Source organism: Homo sapiens, chromosome 7 (genome assembly GCF_000001405.40).
Source record: "Homo sapiens chromosome 7, GRCh38.p14 Primary Assembly".
NCBI lineage: Eukaryota > Metazoa > Chordata > Mammalia > Primates > Hominidae > Homo > Homo sapiens.
In genome coordinates this window covers 112,406,914-112,433,220 of record NC_000007.14, presented here as the reverse complement: position 1 = coordinate 112,433,220, position 26,307 = coordinate 112,406,914, and the positions used below count along the sequence as shown (strand labels likewise).

The 26,307-nt window shown below is 40.7% G+C and overlaps 1 protein-coding gene and 1 long non-coding RNA gene across 3 annotated transcripts in view, besides 3 other annotated features; one reads left to right on the top strand and one right to left on the bottom strand.

The window, feature by feature from the left end:
- Positions 1-10,047, bottom strand: part of IFRD1 (interferon related developmental regulator 1) — a 54,030-nt gene extending 43,983 nt beyond the window's left edge. For both annotated transcript variants that reach the window (NM_001007245.3, NM_001197080.2), the window contains exon 1: positions 9,789-10,047. The gene's annotated coding sequence lies outside the window, so the exon portion shown is untranslated. The remainder of the gene's footprint in view (positions 1-9,788) is intronic.
- Positions 1-16,260, top strand: part of LOC105375457 (uncharacterized) — a 28,346-nt gene extending 12,086 nt beyond the window's left edge. Inside the window, exon 3 of the long non-coding RNA XR_001745325.2 lies at positions 450-16,260. This is a non-coding gene — a long non-coding RNA (uncharacterized LOC105375457). The remainder of the gene's footprint in view (positions 1-449) is intronic.
- Positions 9,933-10,227: an enhancer, noted in NCBI's record as "tiled region #10411; HepG2 Activating DNase matched - State 5:Enh, and K562 Activating DNase unmatched - State 5:Enh". NCBI's record gives its function as "activates a minimal TATA promoter and a strong SV40 promoter by Sharpr-MPRA in HepG2 and K562 cells {active_cell/tissue: HepG2 | K562}" and the evidence as "EXISTENCE:reporter gene assay evidence [ECO:0000049][PMID:27701403]".
- Positions 17,090-17,589: an enhancer, noted in NCBI's record as "H3K27ac hESC enhancer chr7:112055687-112056186 (GRCh37/hg19 assembly coordinates)". NCBI's record gives its function as "activates a minimal SCP1, AML or CMV promoter by ChIP-STARR-seq in primed H9 embryonic stem cells {active_cell/tissue: H9 hESC(primed)}" and the evidence as "EXISTENCE:reporter gene assay evidence [ECO:0000049][PMID:30033119]".
- Positions 17,590-18,091: an enhancer, noted in NCBI's record as "H3K27ac hESC enhancer chr7:112055185-112055686 (GRCh37/hg19 assembly coordinates)". NCBI's record gives its function as "activates a minimal SCP1, AML or CMV promoter by ChIP-STARR-seq in primed H9 embryonic stem cells {active_cell/tissue: H9 hESC(primed)}" and the evidence as "EXISTENCE:reporter gene assay evidence [ECO:0000049][PMID:30033119]".

The window sequence follows — 26,307 nt, the reverse complement described above, 5'->3', positions numbered from 1 at the left end:
AGTAATAATAAAACTCCAGTCTCCTGTACAGCTGGCTCTGCATGAATTCAACTCTTTCTCTATTCCAATTCCCCTGTCTTGATAAATTGGCTCTGTCTGGGCGGCAGGCAAGGAGAACCCATTGGGAGGTTACAGTTGATTCTATGATCCACACGTTTTAACCATTTAATATCTCTGAAATTGAAATGTCTTACAGTGCCGTATCCATTCTGACATTCAATAAATTGTATATAATGGATATATTCATTGGGGAAAAAAGATTAAGGAAGTGAAATAATCCTAACTTCTATTTATATTGTGTTTTCACTCTGTTTTCAAAGACTCCTTAGACTAAAATAATCCCTCTTCAACCCCAAAGCAGTTTGCTTACACTCTTGTGACCTTATATTCTGCTTTGCACTGTAAGTGTATTTTACTTTTCTCACCTGCTGAACCATAAACCCCTACAGTGCTTGGCCTTTGGACTTTTCTCTTCATTATGCCATTGGCCAGCAGTGTGACCACATGGAAGCAGCATGGGCTCTGAAGCCAGGCTGATGTGTGTCCAGATCTAAGCCCTGCCGTCTACTAGCTTGGTGATCTTGGGTAAGTTATTTAATCTCTGAGAGTCCCATTTCCTCATTTGTAAAATGGGGATAGTCATACTTAATACATGGAATTGGTTCAAAGGTTTAAAAATGAGCCAAGTTGTAAAAGATTGGTGCTTAGCATGTTCTTTGTAACTGATTATCAGTATTTTTCAGAGACAGCATAAATTTTGGAATCAGATTCAAATCCTGGCTTAGTCACTTGATATGTCTCTAACTGCAAGTTACTTCTTTAAGTCTCAGCTCTAAGTGCCATGAAGGTCAAGATCTTGTCTGTGGTGTTCACTGTTGTCTCCTTAGCATCTAACACAGATCCTGACACATGGTTGTTGAATGAACCAATAAATGAATGAAAAATTAAGATAATTTCTTACCACACTATAGTGAGAATTCTAAAAACTGTACACTCTGTACCACTTACAGTTACAATGCCCAGTACACAGTAGGCCACAATAACTGATTTTTGATGCTCAAAACAAATGAATATAAGAAAATAGGATATGTAAAGTCCTTGGGCATTCATGCTCCCATATTTATCATGTAATTATAGGAGTAGGCAATAAGAGGATGTGGCTAAATGGCTGGCCTGATGACTAATATCGTCTAGCATTAAATTGTGTTCATACCGCCAACACAACACTATTAAAGGCAGCAAGAATCACTTGTTTGTTTAGTAAATATGTATTGAGCACATAGGATGTAGATGACGCCAAAATGGACAAAATATTTATGAACAAGTACATCTATATCAAGGACAGAATGTGGAGATGCTTGCTTTCTAGGAATTGAGGCCTCAGATGACTGGAGTTTCCATATAAAGGAGTTTCCAAAAAGATCGTAATGAATAGACAGAATACTTGGTAGCCCCTTTCTTTAATTCGAATACTACTTTCATAACTGTGACATTTCTGCTTCCACTCATTTAGGCAGAGAGAGTAACCCCTATGACCTTTGGTCATCAATGCAGATAGTGGAGAAACAGATTATGGAGGTTGGGACAAGGGAGTTTCCTACTGCCCTGGATGTTTCCCTCCCAGTATTGCAATAGGATGGGAAGGAGGACTGCATAGATATAAGGAATAGGTGGTGGGAGGGTGAACTGCGGCTGTGAGTCTAAAGTTAAATGATCATACCACACCTCATCCAAAACCTGGCTTCTAGGTGATTTCACCTAAAATATTCCAAACTGATGCATGTCATTCATGTTCTCCAACACAGATAAGAGAGTAGACTCCATAGGTAGTAGCAGAGTCCTGTTTCTCAAGAGGAGGAAAAAGTCCTGAACTGTTATGCTGAATTATCAAATTTGAATTTTGTTACCACATATTTATATATTGAGACCAATCAATCTTAATTCAAAATATATAATATGACATATAGTTAAAACAATAGTATATGTCTTCGTATAATAATTTCTAGCCAAAAGAGCAAGACAGAAACCTCCTAGTCTAGCCTTAAGCTTCCTTAGCTCCCTTTGTGCCCTGTAAAGCACTAATGGTGTCAGTAGCTTTCTGGCCACAACAGGATACACAGGATACTGGTAGTAACAGCAATACGCTCGAAAAATAATAAGCAGAAAATGTTCTAGGATCAAGGACACATGAAGAAAAGAAGGTGGGAGGGAGGGGAGGAGAAGGATGAGGCAAGAAAGAAGAAGAAAGGAGGAGCTCAAAGGAATGGTCCTTCCACTCTCACTGGCCTTTGGGGAGCTTCTGTATCAATTAGCTGGGGAACACGGTGCTGACCTAGGTGAAACATGATGCTGGGAGAATCTTCTACATCAGGCCCCAGGCTGTATGAGTACCCCAGGCCACTTCTGGCGGAGTAGCAAACTGCAGTAGGTGATCCTTCTGGCTCCCTTTAGTCTAGTCCACCCACTTGGTCAACCCCAAAATGAACAGAGATAGAAAGGGGATGAAAAGTAGTTAGGAGTGAACATATGTGTGGAAGAGAAGCAGAGAATTAGCCCCATTCCTGGACATGGGCTCACGAAGGTTTATTTTGGGTAGGCCAGATGTGAAAGACTTCTCTATTTTCTAGTGTTCCCAGGGCAACAAAAATCAGGGCTCATGTCATTTGTGATGAAAAGGAAGTTTAGACTTTTACCAGGTTCTCCTTCCTAAGTGCTTCTGAAAATCCCCAAGGAATGCTTACCTGTTCCACACATCTTCCCTAGCTACTGCTTGTCCCTTCAGCTAAGAGCTAGACTGCTGCTCCAGTCTTCAGCAGGCCACCCCTGGCCATCTCAGAACCACCTTCCAGATTGTTGCCAGGCTTCCCTATCTGCTGTATTCCCGGCACTGACACATGCCCATCCCTGAATCCCTGAAGTACCACAACAATCAGGAGGCTTGGGATAACAGAAGGGAATTATGATATAGAAAACAGCATTTTCCTAAAAAAGAATTGGGCTCCCAAATCCTTCACCTGCCTCAGGTTGCATCTTTTCTACGTTGCTGATTACAATTTTTTGCTTTCCTTGGCTCCTAACTCCCTCTGTGGAATGAGAGTGGGCAGCTCCAAGTCCTTTTATCCAAGAGAAGAAGCCCTTAGGGCTCTGCAGGTGCTGTCAACCCCACCATACCTCTGATTTGTATCTGCCAACATGGAACAGACATGGAGAGGATAAAGAAGTAGGAAGAAGCTGAGAAGAAGGGAGATGAGAAAGTGCTGACTGAAACATCAGCACTATGCTCTATGGCTCAGAAGTGTCTTCTAATAGTAACATTCTATATTTTATTTATATAACAACTTTTCTCATGAGTTATGCTCTTATAAGAAAAACTGAAGGACTATCAATAGAAAACTTAACCAAGCTGCAATTTTTGTAACATGAGGTTGCAGAGTATATTCTTTTTTAGGAAGATGCTAGGCCTGCCTTATCCCGAAAGAAAAAAGAATATGCCTTGTTTATTGAAATTGCTAAAATATTAAATTGATATCATGAGTCCCATTTTAGTGTGTCTGAGTGAGAATCTGTTGAAGCAGACGGGACATTATGGGAAGAAATCTTACAAAGTAAAATTAGATTTTTCATACACAGAGTAGCAGCTGTTCAGATTGCAGGAAAATCCTTAGAAGCCATTTATCAGGTGGCAATGTGGTGAACAACAAAGACAACTCTTCTTTCAGATGTGAGAATGGTCCAGCACACCTCTGTGACTGCAGATGACAGCATGCTGTGTTCCAAATATTGGAACTATTGAATAACTGATGTTCAAAGATTTATACATCTGAATGAACATTCTAGAGTGCAAATTGCCTTTGACTTAACGTGACCAAAAACAGAATTCTAAAGTGTAATCACATGCTGGATGTGCCCAACGACTATGATACAGAGTGATGTGTGCATAGGCCAGTGGTTTCTTTAGGTACAAGACATGCCAAACACAACTGAATAGCCAGGTTTGAGATTAGGCAAGTGTTTTAAAGTAGAAAAAGCCACAATTGGGATAAAAACAAAGCAAGAATATGGGAGACAAACAAGAAAGTACAACGGAGTAATTGCAACTAAGGCAACTCAATTGGTAGATAGGTCTAAGAACCAAAGAGTTCAAACATTTGTAAATTATTTTCCTGCTTTTGGACAGACAGGTCAAAGTTACTTTTCTGAACTAGAAAGATTTGTAGGGAGATGAATTTTAGAGGCAGTAAAGGGCCACCCCAAAGTAAAACTGTCAAGTTAATAAAGTCTGTTGTCATGATGACAATAGCTTTTGAGAAGAGGATTGACATGATGTCAACGTTTTGTTTTGAGGAAGATTAATCTACTGGTAATAAGAAAGATGACTTGAAAGGGGACGGGCAGGGTGGATTCAGGTTTTGTGTGTCTGAAGCTAATACCAGCTTTAAAAGGGTAGGGGCTCTGTTTAAGAAAAAGAATACAGATTCAAGTATACAAAATTTGCTAGGGCCCTTCCCAGAGCCTTTGAATGGCTTCATGCAAGGAAAGGAGTCTGAAGGTTAAGCTTCCTTACCTTCGATAAGCCACCTCATAAGCAGATGATAGCTAAGCCACTAACAGTGTCACCCTCATCTTGCCAGCCACCCAAGTGAGACCCCCAGGAGTCATCTTTTATCCTTCATCCTATTTCCTCTTCAGTCACCAAGCCATGCCCATTTAATTTCCTAAGTATTTCTCAAGTTCATTTATTTCTTCATTCTTCATTCCAGTACCTTAGATCTACCTGTCACTGCCTCTTAACTACTCCATTGCAAATAGCTTTTCCAAACTCGTTCCCTGTTTCCACCCTGTTTACCTCCTAGAAACCTATCCTTCACCCAGCCGCTCAGAATACTCTATCTATGGGTAGATCTGATAATCTCACACTTCTGGTTAATACTCTTCATTAAAGCTTCATCAGGAGAAGGCCCAAGCCTCCATAGTATTATAAGCAAAGCCTGTGTGATCTCACCCCTTTGTCAGCTCAGCTCTTGACACCCTTGCTTTGCACTTCTCACATGTCAGCACAATACTGCATTTCTGGCAAATGCCTTGAAAGTTTTTACATCTGGGTTTTTGGTTCCTGACTGACCTCTTGGCTGAGAATTATCTCCCTTTTCCCTCATCCCTCCTCCTTCTAAACTCTCTTTACCAGGCTCACCTTTTCCTGGGGGTCTTCATAGAGACCCACCCCTCTGCCCCCATCAAGCTGGTGAGGTGCCCTCCTCTGTAATGACACATACAGTGCTCCATCAAGGCACTCAGCACCCTGTGTTAAAAGGACCTGTTTATAGCTGCCTTTCCCTCTCCTCTCCAGACTGTGATCTCCTTGGGAATAGGAGCCACATCTGATGCATTTTTTTATCCGCAGCACTTCACAGAATGTAGGTCTCACTAGATATTTTTGAATGAGTGAACAAATTAATGATGAAATCAAGCACTACATGAGTTATTCTCTGTGATAGAGCATAGAAAGATAAGAGATAGTTCTGGGGTATGTCTAAGCTTGTGAGTAGGAGAAAGAAAAGAAAGCAATTAAACACAGAAGACAGAATAATCAGTAAAAGGGATCAATAGCTATCGTTTATGTTGTTTTTCTACTTATCATCAAGTTACGTTTCTACAATGAATTCATATTCCTTTTTAAAAATGAAAGAAAGGAGTTTATTAGGGTAATTGCTAAGCTACTGAGACAAAAAGACCACAAAATAGAATGATGAAAATGTAGTGTAAATGTAATTCTCTCACATGTAAAAATCCAGTGGTGATCAGTTTAGGGCTGGCAGAGGAGCACTGCTGTCCTCAACATGCTAGCCCTGCCACCTTAACAGCAATTGCTTCCACTATGGTTTGAACTTTCCCCCAAAGTTCATGTGTTGGAAACTTAATCCCCAATGCAACAGGATTGTGGGGTGAGGCCTAATTGGAGGTGTTTAGGTCATGAGGGCTCTGCCCTAATAAATTGATTAATGTCATTATCTTGAGAGTCGGTTTGTTATGACAGTGAATTCAACCCCCTCTTGCCCACCCTTGTGATGCCTTCTGTCATGTTTTGATTGTAAACCAAAAGTATCTGAGACAGCTCTTGGTCAATTTAGAAAGCTTATTTTGCCAAGGTTAAGGACACACCTGTGTCACAGCCTCAGGAGGTTCTGACGACATGTGCCCAAAGTGATTGGGGTACAGCTTGGTTTTATACATTTTAGGGAGACATGAGACATGAATCAACGTATATAAGATGTACCTTGGTTAGGTCCAGAAAGGCCTGACAACTCAGAGGGGGGCCTCCAGGTAACTGGTAAATTTAAAGGTTTTATGATTGGCATTTGGTTGGAAGAGTTATTATCAATAGAAAGAAATGACTGGGTTACAATAAGAGGTTGTGGAGACTAAGGTTTTATCATGCAGATGATGCCTCCAGGTAGCAGGCTTCAGGGAGAATAGATTGTAAATTCTTATCAGACTCAAAGAGTCTGTTCTATCAGTAATTACAAAAAGGATGAGGGCATAATGAGACATGTGTGGATCCCACTTCCCATCATGGCCTGAATTAATTTTTTAGGTTAACTTTGGAATCCCCTTGGCCAAGAGGAGGGGTGCATTCAGATGGCTGGCAGGACTTATAATTGTATTTTTGGTTTACATGATGCGGCAAGAAGGCCCTCACCAGATGTGGCCCCTCAATCTTGGATTTACCAGTCTCTGGAATTATAAGCCAGATAAACTTCTAATGTTTGTAAGTTACTACCCATTCTGTGCTATTCTGTTATAGCAGCACAAAACAGACTAAAAGCTTCCAACCAGTGGTGAGAACAAAAGACAAATGACAGGACAAGTAGTCAGCTTAAGGGAAGGCATAATTTGCCCCCACTCTTGGCCAAATGTCCATACTCAACTGCAAGGGAGACTGGAGAATATCGTTTCTAGCTGAGCCTCCACAGCTAACATATGAGACAGGTTCATTTTTATTTTATTTTTTTAAGGACAGGTTTCACCCTGTCACCCATGCTGGAGGGCAGTGGTGCAATCATAACTCACTGTAGCCTTGAACTCCAGGCTCAAGTGTCCTCCCACCTCAGTCTCCCAAGCAGCTGGTATTACAGGAGTGAACCACCACACCTGGCTGAAAGTTTTATTCATGAAAGGAAGGAGAGAGGAATACCAGAGACAAGTGGCCTGATGTAAAGTCTTTTGTTTCTACAAAATGAGAAAGAAAAAGAATGTTTTAGCAAAAGCCAGATTTCATGGGATTAAGAGTTTTTGGGCAGCGAACAAGTGAAGATGAAAAAGTGCAGATATTTATTCAGATATAACAGTAAACAGAAAAAATAGGATGATGACAAGAAAGAACTAAAGAGTAATAGGTGGTGGTGTTTTTGTTTGTTTTGTTTTTCTTGAAGGAGTAGTGCCCCAGTGTATTAGTCAGGGTTCTCCAGAGAGACAGAACCAACAGGATATATGAAAGGGGATATATTAGGGGGATTTGACTCATATGATCACAGAGGTAGAGGAGTCCCACAATAGGCCACCTGTCAGCTGGAGAACCAGAGAGCTGGTAGTGTGGCTCAGTCCAAATCCAGAATCCTCAAAACCAGGGAAGCCAACAGTGCAACCCTTAGTCCAAGGTCAGAGGTCCAACAGCCCCTGAGAAGCCTCTGGTACAAGTTCTAGAGTCCAAAAGCCAAAGAACCTAGAATTGGATGTCCAAGGGCAGGAGGAGAAAAGGTGTCCTGCTCCAGAAGGGAGAGGGAGAGAATCTCCCCTTCTTCTACCTGTTTGTGCCAGCTAGGACCCCAGCCCACGTTGGATGGTGCCCACCCACATTGAGGGCAGATCTTCCTCATTCAGTCCACTGACTCCCAAATCAATAATCTCTGGAAAACCTCACAAATAAACCCAGAAATGATGCCCTACCTGCCATCTACACCTCCCTCAATTCAGTCAAGTTGGCACCTAAAATTCACCATCACACTGAGTATGTTTGGAGACATCAGTGGAGAGAAAGATAAAAAACTGACATTTGGCTAGGCATGGTGCCATACCTATAATCCCAGCTACTGGGGAGGCTGAGGCAGGAAGATTGCTTGAGCCCAGGAGTTTGAGGCTGCAGTGAGCTACAATCATGTCAACACTGCACTCCAGCCTGGGCAACAGAGTGAGATGCTATCTCAAAAAAACAAAACAAAACAAAACCTGACAATCACCCAAGTGCTGTAGAATACATATTCTTTTCATCAGCACATGGAGCATTCTCCAGAATTGACCACATCTTAGACCACAGGACAAATATCAATAAATTCAAAAAGGTGGAAGTCATATCTCATATATTTTCTGACCACAATGGAATAAAACTAGAAATCAATAAAACAAGAGGAACCTCAGAAAATACAGGACATGAATATTAAACAACATGCTCCTGAACTACCAGTGGGTCAATGAAGAAATTAAGAAGGAAATTAAAAAATTTTTTGAAACAGGCCTGGCACGGTGGCTCAGGCCTGCAATCCCAGCACTTTGGGAGGCTGAGGCGGGTGGATCACCTGAGGTCAGGAGTTCGAGACCAGCCTGGCCAACATGGTGAAACCCCCACCTCTACTAAAAATACAAAACTTAGCTGGTGTGGTGGCAGCCGCCTGTAGTCCCAGCTACTCGGGAGGCTGAGGCAGGAGAATCGCTTGAACCTGGGAGGCGGAGGGTGCAATGAGTCAAGATCGTGCCATTGCACTCCAGCCTGGACAACAAGAGCGAAACTCTGTCTCAAAAAAAAAAAAAGAAAGAAAGAAATACTATCATAATCTTTACCTTCCCTTCACCAGACACTCCCTACACAGCAAGCTGACCCTGTGCTGACTTAGAACCTCCAGAGCACCAGATTACCTCAAGACAGCACAGTCAATTTACAACCAAAAGTATGCCTGCAACAGAACTCTCTGCCACCTGGAGAGTATCCCCAGACGATGGCCACTTTACAACCTAGCTCTGCCTGCAATGGTGCCAGCTCGACCACAGGGTAGATAAGACACCATAAGTGAGTCAAGTAAACCCCCACCTGCTGGCTCCCTCCCCTGCATGCTGTTCATGCCAAGTGCCCCTTTAAAAGCCCCTACTTTCTGCCCCCAAAGAAAAGCATTATCCTTAAAAGGAAGAACCTGTATTTCTTCTCATAAGCTAAGCTTTGGAATAAATCACTTTCTTTATAACAGATCCCGCTCTCGTTAACTGGACTCTGCAAGCAGTGAGCAACTGAACCTGTGTTTCAGTTACAGTACGGCAGATGCCTCTTCAGTCACACTGAATTCACATTTGTCCCCTGGTGGCTAGAAGAATCCAGATGTACATGATAAATCCACGGAACACATATATGAAAAATGGAGATAACAAAGCATGTCGATCTTGAAAAGATGTTACATGAGCAATCCTGTAGGTGGGACCCTCCATGGCCACAAAGGGCCAGAGGTTTTAGCTACTTTGATTTTCTACCAAGAGCTCATCCTCCCTTCCCTCTATCCTTCCCTCCTCATCACCTTCCTGACCCACTATTTGCTTTTAATTTTCTCCATGTTCTTCTGCATATGATCACCTTCTGGTTTTTGTTCAATCTCAAAGAAAGATTTCTAATCTCTGCCAAGATACCCACCACTTACCGGGTTAAGAGCATGGACTCTTAACTCAAAAGACTTGAGTAGCATCTTAGTCCTTGACCAATTTAACATCTTTAAGCCTCAGTTTTCTCATATGCAAATGGAGATAATACCTACCTTGTGATCGGCTTCTGAGAATTAAATGGGATGTCCACGTAAAGTTCTTCGCATAATGTTGGCACCTAGTGATCACCAATAAATGTTAATTTTATGTAACAGTGCTACCAGATAAAGCAGCTGGCATCAGCCCAAAGCCTGACCAGTTCAGGCTGTTGGCTCAAGTGAAAATAAGTAATAAAGGAACATCAAATACTGGGAGGAATTACACACATCCCTCTGGAACAACCTTTAACTATGTAGACCTTGAATGAACCAGGAGCCAGAAGGAGTGCAGTCTGGTTTTAACAGCAGTCAGCCTTGGTAGGGCCTCCTGGGGTTGGCCTTCACAACAATAGGAAGTGCTGAGTCATCCTGCCCCCGGGGTAGGGTGGGGAAGCAAGCAGAAATCCTTCATGGCAGGCCTCCGAGCAAGCATTCCAGGGCCTACTCTGTCCACTCTGGTCTCCTGACCCATTTACAGCTGACCTTCTCTTTGTCACAACCCTATTTATTCTCCCATCTCTCGCCCACTGATCCAACTGGTTATTTTCCTTCTCTGGACTCAGACCTCCTGATCCCAGTTCTTGAGGTGCAGCCAAATGGTCAGGTGTTCTTATAAACACCTGAACATTTTCTCCTTTGAATCATGGGATGCCCTGAGCAGGAAAAGTACTAACTTTCTTGTGGGAACATTGCTCCCGTTCTTCTTTTAAGAGTTAAATGAGAGGGAGGAAAAAGCAAGTAAAAGATCTGCACAAAGTGGAAACATAAAAATGAAGCTAAGGGGAAAAATTAGATGTGTTTTCCAAAAGATAGATGGAGCGCAACTATGTTATTAATTTCCTAATCTTGCCTGTGCAATCCAAGGGCATAGCCAGAGTTGTAAAAATGGCTTGCCATCTATTCTGTTATAAATTCTCCCCATAATAAGTATCAATTTTGGTAACTAATTGACCCTAGCTTTCTACTGTAGGACTGTGAGATGCATGGTTTGTTCTGATTGTCAGGATGCAGAGCTCTGCAGCAGACTGCAGGTGTCATGAGTTACAGAGCTGGTCAACACAGAAAAGGAGCAACACAGGAAACGCATTTCAACATCTTCAGTCACTGGGGAACCTGAATTGGCAAAAATACTTGCCCTTTGAAGTCTTAAATATACCATCCCCCGCCCCATGTTTCCATCTAAGCCCCCTACTTCCTGTTTCCTCGCTTGTCAAATGCGAAGTTGTTACAAGTCTCAATGAGGAGACTCAGTCCCTACTGATCCTCTTGCAACCTTGATCACAGCCCCTGCAAGCAATAGGAGGTGAGAGGGGCTGAGCAGCTCACAGAGCAGAAACTACCATCTCTGCATTTCCTTCCCTCTTACGTACCAATCTCTGAGATTGCATTCTCCCAGCCAGTGGTCACTTTCCACCCCTCAGGTGATGCAAACAATAGTCATCCCATTGCGGAGGCACCCACAACCTGACTATGAATCTTTCTCCACACTGATCCCTGAAAGTGGCTGTGGAGTGGCTAAGGTTCCTCCAGAAGTGCCTTTGAAGAGGATGCTTTCCCAGCAGACAATGAGGGCTGCTCTCTGGTTCACAGAGGGCACACTATTGGCCCATTTCCTGATCTCGAGATTGTTCTTCTTGGCCAACATTATTCAAAGCTTGCCTTCTGTTCACCAGGTCCTGAAAGTTCTGACTTCAATATTTGTGCTGAAGATCAGGCCCCTCGTTTAAATTGTTACTCATATTTGTTTGCAGACTGATTTTTTGTTTTAGACCCTCGGTCTGTGTACTCATATTAATTCTCCTGGTTGCTAATGAAATGAACTGACACAACTTATTTTATTTAGTTAGATTTGTGTTATTATTGAGGAACAGGACAGAATTGTGGAAGGATAATTGAGAACTTTTAAACTACTACAGGTTATTTAAGTTATTATTTTATTAACATTTCTGATTATAAACCTACTGCAAAGTCATTTTACAAGACATAAAAAGCTGGGGAAAATTTAAATTACCAAGATAAAAGCACAATAATCTCACCACCTAACAGCAATGATTATTCATTTTGATGTATTTCCTTCCAATCTTTTTCCCCTACAATTTTTAGTAGGAATAGTAGGTCTATTTTTATTCATAGCTTATTCTTCATTGAAAAATGGACACTGTTCAAGGGGTGTAGCATACATATTTGCTAGTATTTCCAACAACTCAGAAAAATAGGTGTTGCTAAAATTGTGGAAACTGAGTCCCAGGATGATGAATTAGTAAATTGTTCAAGCTAGGATTTAATCCACACTTGTTTTACTCCTAGGGCTAAATGCTTTAAGAAGTGAACTCTAAACCAAAGCCTTTTTGTGGATATTATGGAAACAATGAAATGCTAAGACAGGGCTGTGGAGAGGTTGATGCTATCCCTAGTGATAGTCAGATCTGTCCAGTTTATTGTTAAACCACATCTACTGAAAGAAATTTCTTCATCTGTATGTAGCCATTTTTAAAAAGAGATTTATTTCTCCACGAATCCAAACTATCAAGGCCCATCATTGTAAGCCGACTAGAAAGGAATGGAGAAACTCCTCTGAAACATCCACAAAGCAGCCCAGTGGGAAGTACACTAAAAGGGAGAGGAGAGTAAATCTTTGGCAGTTTGGACCACTTTCAACATAGCACGAGCCTGGGCAATATCGTGGCTGCCGGAGACTGCCAGCTACAGATGAAGCCAGGACAGCAGGGTCCAGGGCTATTGCCCAGACATGAATAGAAGTCAGTGAAGACAGGCATGTAGTTGCAGTTCTGCTAAAAACATCTGGGCTCAGATAAAAACATATATCAGGCAATTCCTTTGCTAGTCCTGTGCTAGCTTTGGGGCATTAAAATAAGTACACACAAAGAATGGTTTCGCTTCCTTGCCCACAAGGAATTTCATTCATTCAACAAATATTTATTGAACACCTATGGTGTGCCAGACATGTTCAGGCTATATGTATACATCCGTGAACAAAGCAGACAGAGATCCCTGCTGCGTGTAGCTGACTATTCAGTGGGAAAAGACAGACAATAGACAGTAAACACAATTGAAGCAAGTTGTGCAAATTCCACAGCCTGCCGTGGTTGCGGTATAAAGAGCAAGCTTTACTGGGGAAGCTCACAAGTCCAGGATCAACAAGAAGAGGCACGTGGTCCCTCCATCTGATATTCATTTTAAGCTCATTTGTTTCCAATGTCTGTGTGTGCTCTCATTTTCCTTTTTAATTTTATTATTTTTAAATTTGTAAAACCTTTACATTGCTCAATATATTTAAAGCAATATCACCGCCTCTACACAAAATATAGAATTCTATATAAATATATATATAATCTATCTATTCATCCAATCTTTTGTTCCTAATCTTGGTTTTTTGTTTTTTTTTTTTTGAGACAGGGTCTCACTCTGTTGCCTACATTGGAGTGCAGTGGCACAATCAGGGCTTACTGCAACCTTGACTCAAGCGATCCTCCCACCTCAGCCCACTCAAATAGCTGGGACTACAGGCCTGCACCACCAGCTGGGCTAATAGACAAGGCTTCACCATGTTGCCCAGGCTGGTCTCAAACTCCTGGACTCAAATAATCCACCCACCTCAGCCTCCCAAAGTGTCAGAATTACAGGCATGAGCCACTGCACCCGGCTGATAACTTTTCTTTTTCATAGCTATTTCGTTCTCTATTTTGTGGATGCACCATAATTGATTTAACAAGTCCCCTGTTGATGGATATTTGTTATTGTTTTTCTCTCTTTTTTTCTTTTCAATTTGTATGGGTTCATAGTAGGTTTATATATTTATGGGTTATGTGAGATATTTTGATACAGGCATACAAAGCCAAATAATCACTTCAGGATAAATGGAGTGTTCATCACCTCAAGCGTTTCTTTGTGTTAGAAATATTCCAATTATACTCTTTTAGTTATTTTTAAATGTACAATAAATTTTTGTTGACTGTAGTCACCCTGTTGTGCTATCAAATACTAGATTTTATTCATTCTAACTATATTTTAGTAACCATTAACCATCCTCATTTTCCTCCCCACCCCCACTACCCTTCCTAGCCACCAATAACCATTATTCTTTTCTTTATCTTCATCAGTTCAATTGTTTTAATTTTTAGCTCCCACAAATGAGTGAGAACATGTGAAATTTATCCTTCCATGCCTGGCTTATTCCATTTAACATAATATCCTCCAGTTCCATCCATGTTGTTGCAAATGATAAGATCTCATTTTTTATGGCTGAATAGTACTTCATTGTGTGTGCACCACATTTTTTTTTAATTTTACTTTAAGTTTCAGAATACATGTGCAGAACATGCAGGTTTGTTACATAGGTATACATGTGCCATGGTGGTTTGCTGTACCTATCAACCCGTCATCTAGGTTTTAAGCCCCACATGCAATAGGTATTTGTCCTAATACTCTCCTTCCCCTTGCCCTCCACCCCGCAACAGGCCCTGGTATGTGTTGTTTCCCTCTCTGTGTCCATGTGTTCTCATTGTTCAATTTCCACTTATAAGTGAGAACATGCGGTGTTTGGTTTTCTGTTCCTGTGTTAGTTTGCTGAGGATAATGGCTTCCAACTTCATCCATGTCCCTGCAAAGGACATGATCTCATTGTTTTTTATGGCTGCATAGTATTCTATGGTATGTACGTACCACATTTTCTTTACCCAGTATATCATTGATGGACATTTGGGTTGGTTCCATGTCTTTGCTATTGTAAATAGTGTTGCAATAAACATACATGAGCATGTGTCTTTATAGTAGAATGATTTATATTCTTTTGGGTATATACCCCAGTAATGGGATTGCTGGGTCAAATGGTATTTCTGGTTCTAGATCCCTGAGGAATCGCCACACTGTCTTCCACAGTGGTTATACCAATCTACATTAACACCAATAGCATAAAAGCATTCCTATTTCTCCACAGCATCACCAGCATCTATTGTTTCTTGACTTTTTAATAATTGCCATTCTGACTAGCGTGAGATGGTATCTCATTGTGGTTTTGATTTGTATTTCTCTAATGATCAGTGATGATGAGCTTTTTTCCATATGTTTGTTGGCTGCATAAATGTCTTTTGAGAAGTGTCTATTCATACCCTTTCCCCACTTTTTGATGTGGTTGTTTTTTTCTTGTAAATTTCTTTAAGTTTCTTGTAGATTCTGGATGTTAGACCTTTGTCAAGTGGGTAGATTGCAAAAATTTTCTCCCATTCTATAGGTTATCTGTTCACTCTGATGATAGTTTTTTTTTGCTTGCAGAAGCTCTTTAGTTTAATTAGATCCCATTTGTCAATTTTGGCTTTTGTTGCAATTGCTTTTGGTATTTTCATCATGAAGTCTTTGCCCATGCGTATGTCCTGAATGGTATTGTCTAGGTTTTCTTCTAGAGTTTTTATGGTTTTGGGTTTTACATTTAAGTCCTTAATCCATCTTGAGTTAATTTTTGTATAAGGTGTAAGGAAGGGGTCCAGTTTCAGTTTTCTGCATATGGCTAGCCAGTTTTCCCAGCACCATTTATTAAATAGGGAATCCTTTCCCCATTCTTGTTTTTGGCAGGTTTGTCGCAGATCTGATGGTTGTAGATCTGTGGTGTTATTTCTGAGGCCTCTGTTCTGTTCCATTGGTCTATATGTCTCTTTTGGTACCAGTACCATGCTGTTTTGCTTACTGTAGCCTTGTAGTATAGTTTGAAGTCAGGTAGCATGATGTCTCCACCTTTGTTCTTTTTGCTTAGGATTGTCTTGGCTATACAGGCTCTTTTTTGGTTCCATATGAAATTTAAAGTAGTTTTTTCTAGTTCTGTGAAGAAAGTCAAGGGTAGCTTGATGGGAATAGTATTGAATCCCAGTGTTTTCTTTAGTAGTTTCATAGTTTGAGGTCTTAGATTTAAGCCTTTAATCCATTTTTATTTTATTTTTATATATACCCAGAGATAGGGGTCCAGTTTCATCCTTTTGCATATGGACATCCAGTTTTCCCAGCACCATTTATTAAAGAGACTGTCCTTTCCCCAGTGTATATTCTTGGCACCTTTGTCGAAAATGAGTTCACTGTTGAGTATGTATTTATTTCTTGGTTCTGTATTCCGCTCCATTGGTCTATGTGTCTGTTTTTATGCCGGTACCATGCTGTTTTTGTTACTATAGTTCTGCAGTGTAATTTCAAGTCATGTAATGTGATGCCTCCAGTTTTGTTCTTATTGTTCAGGGTAGCTTGGGCTATTCTGTGTCTTTTGTGGTTCTGTATACATTTTAGTTTTTTAATTTTGATTTCTGTGAATAATGTCAGTGTTATTTTGATAGGGATTACATTGAATCTGTAGATCGCTTTGGGTAGTATGGACATTTTAATAATATTGATTCTTCCAATCTATTAACATGGAGATGGATATTTGGATTGTTTATAATCACATGCTACTATACATAATGTCTCTCAATAAATAACTTTCTTCACATATTCTGAATTTGTAGAGATTCTTAAAAGTAGAATTGCTCAATCAACAGGTAAATGCAAATGTAGTTTTATTAGTTAATTCCAAATTATTCCCCATAGGGCCTAAACCATAATGATGACAGTACCTACTTTTCCACAGCCCCACCAACAAAGTATATTAGCAACCTTTTTGAACTTGCCAATCAAATAGATGAGCAGTAAGATTTTTAAATGCTTTTCATTCACTTTTTTCTTAATATAAGCTAGATTGAGTAGCTTTTCACATATTTTAGGGTCATTTTCGTGTTTAAAATTTCTTTCTGATTTAAATACCCAGTTCATTCCTTTTGTTTATAGTGCCTCTTTTTAGGAGTTTTCCTGAATATTCAGCTTGTTAATTTATCTTATGTAGTTTAGAATCAACTTCTCTGACTCCAGAAAAAAAAATGGTTACTTTTAATGTAATGACAATAAGTGTATATATTAACCTGGGAGAACTGGCATCCTCATGATGCTTCATTGTCTAATCCAAGAATACGACACATCTTTCTACTTTTGTGTTTCACAGGAGTGCTTTAAGGTTTTTATCATATCTGCTTAGCACATTTCTTTGTACTCATTTGGCAAAACCACAACAGGATGCAGCTGAACGTTGCTGGAGAAAATTCCACGATCATGCTGACTGGTCTTACTTTAAATTTACTACTGCTAACTGCAAGCGGTGCCTTCATGCTGCTAGGGTGTCACACTACCTTGTCCTTCCATCTCCAGCTCCTTCACATAATCATTCACATCTTCTCCCCTCACCCTTCTCCCATCCTCATTCAGCTGGTTGTCTTGTTTTCTACCTCACTGACAAAACAAAACAATGCAAAACATCAGAAGAGAACTTCTGCCATTTCCCATATGATAATAACGCCAGCCACCCAAATTCAAATCTCTCCATACACCTTCTCTCTGCACAAAAAAAGTACAGTTCAACAAAGAGAGCCAATAAATAAATAAATAAATAAATAAATAACATGTATCTTCAGAATAACTGGGAGACAAAGTAATTGAAAAAGATTTCAATTTAGATGTAAATGGAGGAGGAGGCATTCAAGAGCAGGAGTTGCTCCACAGCCTACCCCAGAACAACACCAGTCTTGTGAGTATTACATGAGGGAGAGGAGAGAGCAGTGGGAGAACCTCAAGAATGTCAGCTGGGGTTCACCCCCCGCAGGAGAGGGGAGAACACAGGTCTCAGATCGTGTGTTGCTTCACCCTTTTCTGCATGGCCCACTGGGGAAGGGCTGAACTTCCCCAAGCATGTGTGCTCTACTTTGCCCCATGTCCCTCTACTGCAGAGGGACTAGGGGATGCCTGTGAATGCCACGGTTACAGCAGGCACCAGGGGCCCTTCAGCAGCCCATGAAGGTCTGGGAGAGGTGTAGGGGCCTAGTTTCCATGGCCGAGGGCTCTTTGGGATCCAGTTGATGGGGTTGAATGAAAGCCTAGAGAGATGACAGTCACACTGGGGAAACAAGACAAACAACAAGCAACTAATAAGCAAGACAGATTGTTACATCTTATGTTTACTCACTGGCATGATAATTTACTTAATTATGTAGCAGAGACAATTCAGGAATGCTATAAGATATAATAAGTTGCTAATCATAGGATGCAAGGGGTAAATACAAAAGATGCTTGAGAACAGACAGATGTTATAAACTAGAGTCACCAGGTCATGGATATCTTGATGAGAAGCAGGGGATCTAAAGCTAGATTTTTATCTCTGGCATAAAAGTTGTTGAGGAGGCATTTGCCAAATGGACCCAAAAACGAGCAGGATGGAGGATGTATATCTGTGACCCACGGGGTGTGTCTGATTGGCATGTTCTAAGAAAGATCTCAATTTAGCCAGCAGAGGGCAAGAGAACACAGAAACCATTCCAAGATTTATGACCTGAAGATTGTTTGGAATAGAAGGATTGTGTAGGTGTCTAAGCAAAAACAAATCACAAAAACAGTTACGAATCTGGCTCTTTTGAAACAATATATTTTAAAACTACATATCTAAAGAAGAGATTGACTACTGTTGGCACTGCAATAAATTCATGCCTTTTTATAAAAAGTCAGAATTTATTTAAACAGTGCATGCCTTTATAGATCCATAAGTGCTTGACAAAATATGGGAACCTCTTTGGAATATTTAACCTAGTATTTTAAGAAACATTTTTATTTGAAGATCCCAGATAAACTGAAACATTTATAAACACACATAGCAGTGATTTATTTTCTAAACCTCAGAAATAGGCTTTTTAAAAGAATGAGAGTCTATCATAAAGGTAGCATGTTATGACATTTGTTAAATAGATGAATTATTCAAAACAAACATATATGTAGTCTATCAAGTAAGAAAGAGTGAAAGAAGCACCTGCCCTTTCCCATAGATATAGGGCAAATGCAGGGTTAGACGTCAGCAAAACCCAGAGGCCAGTGGCCATGTGTCTGCTCCCTCCGATGTCCATCAGCTCCTCCTTTTATGCCGTGCCCCACACCCCCACCTCCATTGCTAAAAGCATGCCAACTATTCAAATAAACTTTCAAGCCCACAGACTCCAGACCCAGGTAGAGAAATGGCAGCAGGCTTCCATCGGGCATTCTAAATGTGCTGTTCACACACTTAATCTGGGTTGACAACAAGATTAAAAAAATCCCCTGGACTGGAAGCCTGGAAACCTGGATTATGGACATTATCCAGTAAACTATTGAAACTTTCTGGTCCACAGTTTTTGGCTTTTCTTTTAAATCTACAAAATAAAGGTGTGAGGTTGGATGATCTCAAAGATTTCTACAAACTCATAGGTCCTAAAATTCTATTTATTTTATCCCCAGTTTGCAGTTAGTTCTCCATCTCAGCTAACATGGGAGCTGATAAGAGTGTAGGATGCTGGTCTCCATTCAAGAAAACACATAATTTAAGAAAGAAATCTTGAACACTCTAGGAATAAGCTTCACAAATAGAATTTCAGACTGAAAGCGGATAATAAATTTATTTTATTTATTTTATACGCTAGATGAGAATGGTGATACCCTTCAAACCACACATTTAAAGCCCAACTTCAATTGTGAATACAGGCTGCTTTTACACACCCCCAGGCTTTACTGAACTATACTCCTTAGGGCTCTTAGGGCACTGTGCAATCGAAGTGGCAATCAAGAAGGCAGCAATTAATAGAAGGTAGGATGGCCAAATTCTAATACTCCTCCAGGCAGCAGCATGGAGAAGCATTACCTCCTACTCAGACTTTCGACCATCTGTAGCAGCTGGAACGCATTCAGCTCTAACTAACAGAACATTCAAGTGCAGAGGCTTAAACCTTAAGAAACAAGAAGTTCAGAGCTAGGCTCTTCCAGGTATGGTCAGCTCTCAGGGGTCTCATCCACAGAATTAACACCTCATGGTTACAAGATGCCTGCAGCCTCACAAAACAGCTCCATAAAGCAGGAAGGGATGAGAGTGGGCAAATGTAACTTTCTTCTCATGCAGCTCTTGCTTTATCAGGAGGAAAGTCTTTCCTCCGGCACACTTGCTCTTATATTTCATGAGCCAGAACTAGGTCACAGGCCTTCTCCATGGCAAGGGAACAAGACTTCTTTTCCTGTCTTAAATCGGTCCTGGGTTCATACCCTAAGGCTGCAAAAGTATATTTATTATTGCTACTATTGGGCCCATTGCTGCAGAACAAAGAATCCTGCTTCCAAAAGTGAAATGGGGGAAGGATGCTTATTCAGTGGCCAATTAATCATTTCTTCCAAATGATTTCACAAAAGCCTAAGGACAGTGTTTCTCTGCTAGATTACAATAATGGCCAGATTTAAGCCCAACTGTGGCACTGAGAGATTGGAAATAAGAAACAGCTATTGGTGGAGTAGATGATCAATGCTATTTTTGTCTCATTGAATTGAAGTCAACTAACCTGAGGTAGCTGGCATTCTTTGCACACCAGGTTTCATAGATTTCTCCAGTGCTTTTTCTGATCTTTTATGAGATAAGAATCCATAGGCTGCTAATTGATTCATTACCAACTCACTGCTGTGATTACAGAAGAGCCTAATGATTTTCAGTGAACAAGATCCAGAGAATAAGACTCAATGTGAAATAGTTGAGTTGTGGGGAGCCATAGATTATAATCCAGGACACATGATTTTCAATACTAAAATTAGGAAATCAAGCAAGCCCATTTCTAAGACCCTTTCTTCAGTACTTTTCTATACTCTAGGAATCTTTGGAACTGAGAGAAAATTAGCATTTAAGAGTAATTTATAATGACTTTAGTAGAGAATGGAGGTAATAAGGCGAAGGTCAAGGACACGAGTCTAGTTTAGAACAAATTTTGTTAAAATCAGACATCCATCACAGTCCCATCTAACCAGCAGTGGCATACTCTTGATCATGTGAAATCTGAGAAAAAAAGTAAAACTATATCAGCAAAACTGCTCCCAAATGGAGGGGAAAAAGCCAATTCAAATGTATATACCAATGATAATATCTAAAGACCATATTGTCAGTATATATCTAAATAAATTAAATGAATTGATGCCTTTTTAATGTTTAAGTGTTTTCTCTCCTATTTTGCACGTTTCCCTGATTTGATGAAGTCCTAGAAGATTAAAGTGCATGTTAATGCCACATCCCAAAAGAACCTCTGGCATTCAAACTTTCAAGTGCAGACAATCTAGTCACACAGAACCGTTGTTTGTCTCATTCTGTGTTCTAATGAAGAGCAAACACTGGCTTGTGAAACTCTTTTTCATTATCGGAAACCAGATAAGCCAATGGGGGAAACACACCATTGTGCTTTCCTTTTTATATCCATGCCATTGCAATATACACCCAAACTCCAAGTTGGGGCATTTGTCTATGATTGCCTGGATTTTTCTACTTGAACAAATCCAAGTTGGTTTTTGAATGTGTGAGCAACAGCAACTTGCTTTTCCTGTTGTTTTCCTTTTCCTCACTTCACTTCTTCTTCACTTCACTTAAACACCTTTGTCTTAGTCAATTGGGGCTACTATAACAATATACCATAGACTGGGTGACTTAAACAACAAACATTTATTTCTCACAGTTCTGGAAGCTGGGAAGTCCAAGGTCAAGGTGCCAGCTGCTTGGGTTCTGGTGAGGGCCCTCTTTTGGGCTTACAGATGGCTGCCTTCTTGCGGCATCCTCATAGTGAAGAGAGAGAGAAGTCCGTGGTCTCTTCTTCCTCTTATAAGGGCACTAATCCCATTCATGAGGCTTCACCCTCATTACTTCCCAAGGGCCCCACCCACTAATACCATCACATTTAGGGGTTAGGGCTTCACGATATGAATTTTGCAGGAGACATAAACTTTCAGTCTACAGCACCCACCAGAGGAGTTTTAACATATTTAAGTTCTACTTTTCCCCTCTATTGCTTAATTTATTGTATTTCTCTTTTCTTTCTGTTGAAAGAAGAATCTGTGTTGAGCAGGCTGCCAGATTATTCCAGAGAATTGATTGAAGATATTTCCTCGGGAAGACTTTCTTGGCAGATAGACAAAATGCATCCTGTATGTTTCTGCAGCAGCCCATAGAGTGCAGCACCGCACTACTCGCTCCCTCCCAGGACGAAACTCTATGAGTTGTCAAATTAATTTCTTCTTTCTAAAATGCATAACACAGTCCTTTCTGGGCTTCTATCTGTTCAAGAATTTAGAACCAGAACTTTAGACAAAGGGATTTTAATTGCATGCTGATAAAATGTCAAAACTATTGTGCATAAAGTAACTGTGCTTTTTTATTTTTTTGTACAATGCCTCAAGGATTATGAGAGAGATTTGCCCCTGTGAGTGAAATCCATTTTGTAACTCATCAGAAAATCTTTAACCTATGAGCTAATTCTTATAATCTCCTCTATAAGCCATTACACTGTGTCTTTCCACCTTCTAGATCGCACAGTTATACAATAAGTTAAAATGAGTGGTCTGCAAATTTGGTTAACCCATTGCTAACTTCAAGTAGTGATTTTTATCTCCCTCTGAAAATCTGAATGATGAATAAGGACTGTTGCTTGTTTGGAGAAGTTGCTTATTTCACAGGACACAGCTGTTACGCCTCATGTTAAACTGTGAAGAGCTGCATCAGAAGGTCACCTTCCCGAACTGTCCTTCCTACTTTAAAAAGAAAATACCCAGAGAAGACAACAAGGATGTGGCTTGACTTTCAAGGCCATCCAGTGAGATAAAAGAGTTTCTCCAGGTGATGGTGGGAGTTTTCAACCAAGGCATAGGTGTTACCATTGGTACCCAGAATAGTTGGGGGGGTTGGGGGGCAACGCTGCTGGGTTTACAGAACAATTGCTAAGGCACCAGCAGGATACCTAGAAATACACACTCATCTTCCCAAAGACAAGTTTTTATTTCTATCACAGACACAATCTCTGAGGCAGCGATTAGTGAGAAGTAAAATTCAAAAAAACTAAGGCATTTTTCATTGTCTTTAGTATTTAAGAAAAAGGGTCCCCAAATATTTCCATTTGAGATGACAAAGTGCTCTTCAGTCATTTAGCTTACTCTTCAGTTCAGATGACTTATCATCTTGATTTCAGAGAGTTCATATATGTCTGTTTTAAAAAACTGGTTCAAAAAGTCTGAAGTTACGAAACTAAACCAAATATGCATTACTCTCATGTCAAATTACAAGCTCTTAGCTGCTGGGATTTTTTCACATGCAGCCTGGAGCCCTTGAAAACCTCTGTTTTCTGTTAGACTCTCCAGGGTACACAGAAGTTGCCTCATTATTTTAGTTAATGGTGACTGCAAATAAGCCCCCCAAGTCATTTAACTATGTGCTTACCACTGCTTTAAAAGAACCCCAAGTTAGGTCCTCATGTAGGTAAAGGAGCTCCCTTCACATATATGTGTTCCTAAACTTGTCAAAGATTGTAGCAAAGCAATTTAAAGCTAAGATAAGGGTAACTCTCAATACAAGATTATTTTGAAAATGCTTAAACAAGCATTTTTATTGAAGTCTAGCATACATACAGAAAAGTATAAAAATATTAAGAGTATAGTTCAGTGAAGAAATACTATGAAGGAAATGGATCAAGGAAGACTTTACTGAAGGAGGTGTCAGGCTACAATGAAATGTTTTAGGGGGAAAAGGAGGCTGGTGAAGGGACTGCCATGAGACCAAAGTAAGAAACTTGACACATGTCCCCCAGAGTTTGAAGAACACAGAGATTGTTACCTGATTCTCGCCCAAAAGGGTGTGAACCGAGGGACTGTATGGAGCTGCCAGAGCAAGAACAGAGAACTATGGCTGAGCCAGCAGCATTCCTCCCAATGGTGGACAAGGGTGTTTGCTTTCCATGGACCAAATTGACATCACAGAGGGCCATCAGACCAGAACCATCTTCAGAGGACCCTGCTCAAGAGGATGCCGGCAGGGACGAGGAGACCCCAGGTGAGGACTTTGGAATAGGACCAGAGGGGAAGTCATAAGAAATCAGACACAAGGACAGTACCTGGGTCAGAAAATAGTGTAATAAGAAGATCTTTGGTGGGTGGTGGCAGGGGGAGGGCTGTCCTCAGAAGTGCCCCAGGAGAGAAAAGAAAGCCTGGCATTTGGACATTCCCTATAACAAGTGCATTTCTTTTTTGTTTGTTTGTTTTTAGAGACAGGGTCTTGCTCAGTCACCCAGACTGGAGTGCAGTGGCACAATCATGGCTCACTGTAACCTCAAACTCCTGGGCTCAAGTGATCTCCCACCTCAGCCTCCAGAGTAGCTAGGACTACAGGCATACACTACCACGCTTGGCTAATTTTTTTTTTTTTTTTTTTTTTTTTTTTTGTAGCAATGAGGTCTTTCTATGTTGCCCAGGCTGGTCTCAAATTCCCGGCCCCAAGTGATCCTCCCACTGTGGCCTCCCAAAGTGCTGAGATTACAGGTGTGAGCCAGCATGCCCAGCCCACAAAGGGCATTTGATTTCTGAGAGACAACTATAAACAGCAAGAGCTAAATTAAAAGGCAGGAGCTTCTTGTCCTGCCATCCTCTTCCACATTCAAATCCTAGAGGAGACAGAGGCAGGGAGTGAGGAAGGGAAAAGATAGACCCCTATGTCCCTCCCCATTGCTGCTCTGGGCAACTGCAGGTCAGACCCACAAAGGGTAGGGGTGGGGAAGTTTTCAGCTGAACTAGACTTTTTAATACCTGAAAACAAGACTGTTCTAATAACTGAAAGAGACCAGAAACAGAGGGCATGTGCCCAAGATGTCCACAGGGCAAGAAAAGAAAATCCAACACAGTCTGTTTGAGGGCAGCTCATTCCATAATGTTAGTTTGAACATCCACAGGCAATCATTGAAAAAAGCCTATTGGCCATCACAAAGTTGATCTGCTACCTGGGAATGTTTGGATTCTTAGGCAGGATTTGGGGTGAAATGGAGAAGCTTTTAATTAAAGTCAAAAGATAAGAGCAGTGTGACATCAAGTTCTTCCTGCAACTTCAAAGCAGGAAAGCTTAAACTGACAGCTTGGACATCTTAACCATCCTAAGAGTAGCCAAAAGTATTTATTAAGTATAGTCTAGGTTCTCTCTAGGAGCTTAAGTAGGAATCATCTGCTTCACAGGTTATCCCTTACCTACCTGGCCCTGTCTCACCACACCATATTTCACTCCAGGGGCCTCACTTTCAGAGGCATGTAGCCTAAGAGTAATATAAAACTTGTAAACAGAAGGAGATTCAAAGCCCTGAGAAACGAGCCAGTGGAAGGAACCTGGGATGTTGAGGTCCATTTTGTGAGCTGTGCCCCTGTCTCAAGAAAGCAGTCGTTGTGTGCCTTCAGGTGGCACGCCCAGGTACAGTGTGAATTTTGGCAAGCAGGTGTGTGTTTTGTCTTTGGAGCCTTTGTATGGAAATGACTGCTAGCTGTCTTTTAGGAGATGTTACCCTAAGGCTTAACAGGCTGTGATTCCAGCCTGGGAGCTCCTTTGAAATGTCCAGGTCAACAAGTACATGATTCCTCAGACATTAAATTAGAACTCAAAGGTGAGATAAGAAGCAGGCAAGAAATAGAATTGCATGTCCTAGGGCCTTGTTCTCCTAGGTCTGCCTTTCAAGGAAGAAAAATGTTCAGAATTGGCATATGGGAGTGAAAGGGAGGGATTGTGGCTTCCAATACATAGTAAGGTTGGTCAGAGCCAGAGGAGTGAATCTTGGTAAATCTAAACAGATCAAATAGAGTTCAACTTAATCATTTCAAGATTTTTTTTTTAAGGTCCTGAATTCCCATATTTCAGTTGACATCACCCTTGGAATTCTACAAAAATATGGGGGTTTCTGGTCCCAGGGCTTCTTCGCCTTTGCAGGGAGAATGGTCAACAGTACCAAAGCAAGGCCACTGGAGTCCCAGACAGAACCATTAGCTTTTTCTCATTAGCCATTCAGCCATCTTCAGGATGTCACAATTGAGACCTGTGGGGCACAATTATGAAATGTAGGAAAATAAGACCAAAAACTCTTGGGCAATGTTTTTGTCAAGTAACATCTTAAATCTCACATTCATCTAAGAACTTTGCCTCCCACTTCTTGTTCTTATTTTTCATAGCATCTGTAACATTTCAAGAATAGGCATGAAAAATAAACTCCTTTTATGCCCTTTAGAAGAATCATTTCAAAACCTGCTTGGTAGATATACAGCAGTGATTTAAAATGGAATATCCACCCTAACTAGTATTCTGTCTTTTGGTGCAGGGGTGATCCACCACCATTATTAGAGGATTTTTGAGCTGATTTACTTTTCACCAGTAGTGGTGATATGTTTAGACTCATCCACTCAAGACTCCCATAGTAAGTGCATTTCGCAAGGCAGCCTGCTAAGCTTAGAAATATAATCAAGCCCTGAAGAAGAGAAAATCCACATAAGGAAACAATAATTATTAATAATATTTATTGAATTATTGGTATGTGCCAGGACCTGTTCTAGTGTTTTATTTACATGCATAATTGCATTGAATCATCACAGTAGTTTAACGAGGTAGGAACTATGTATCCCT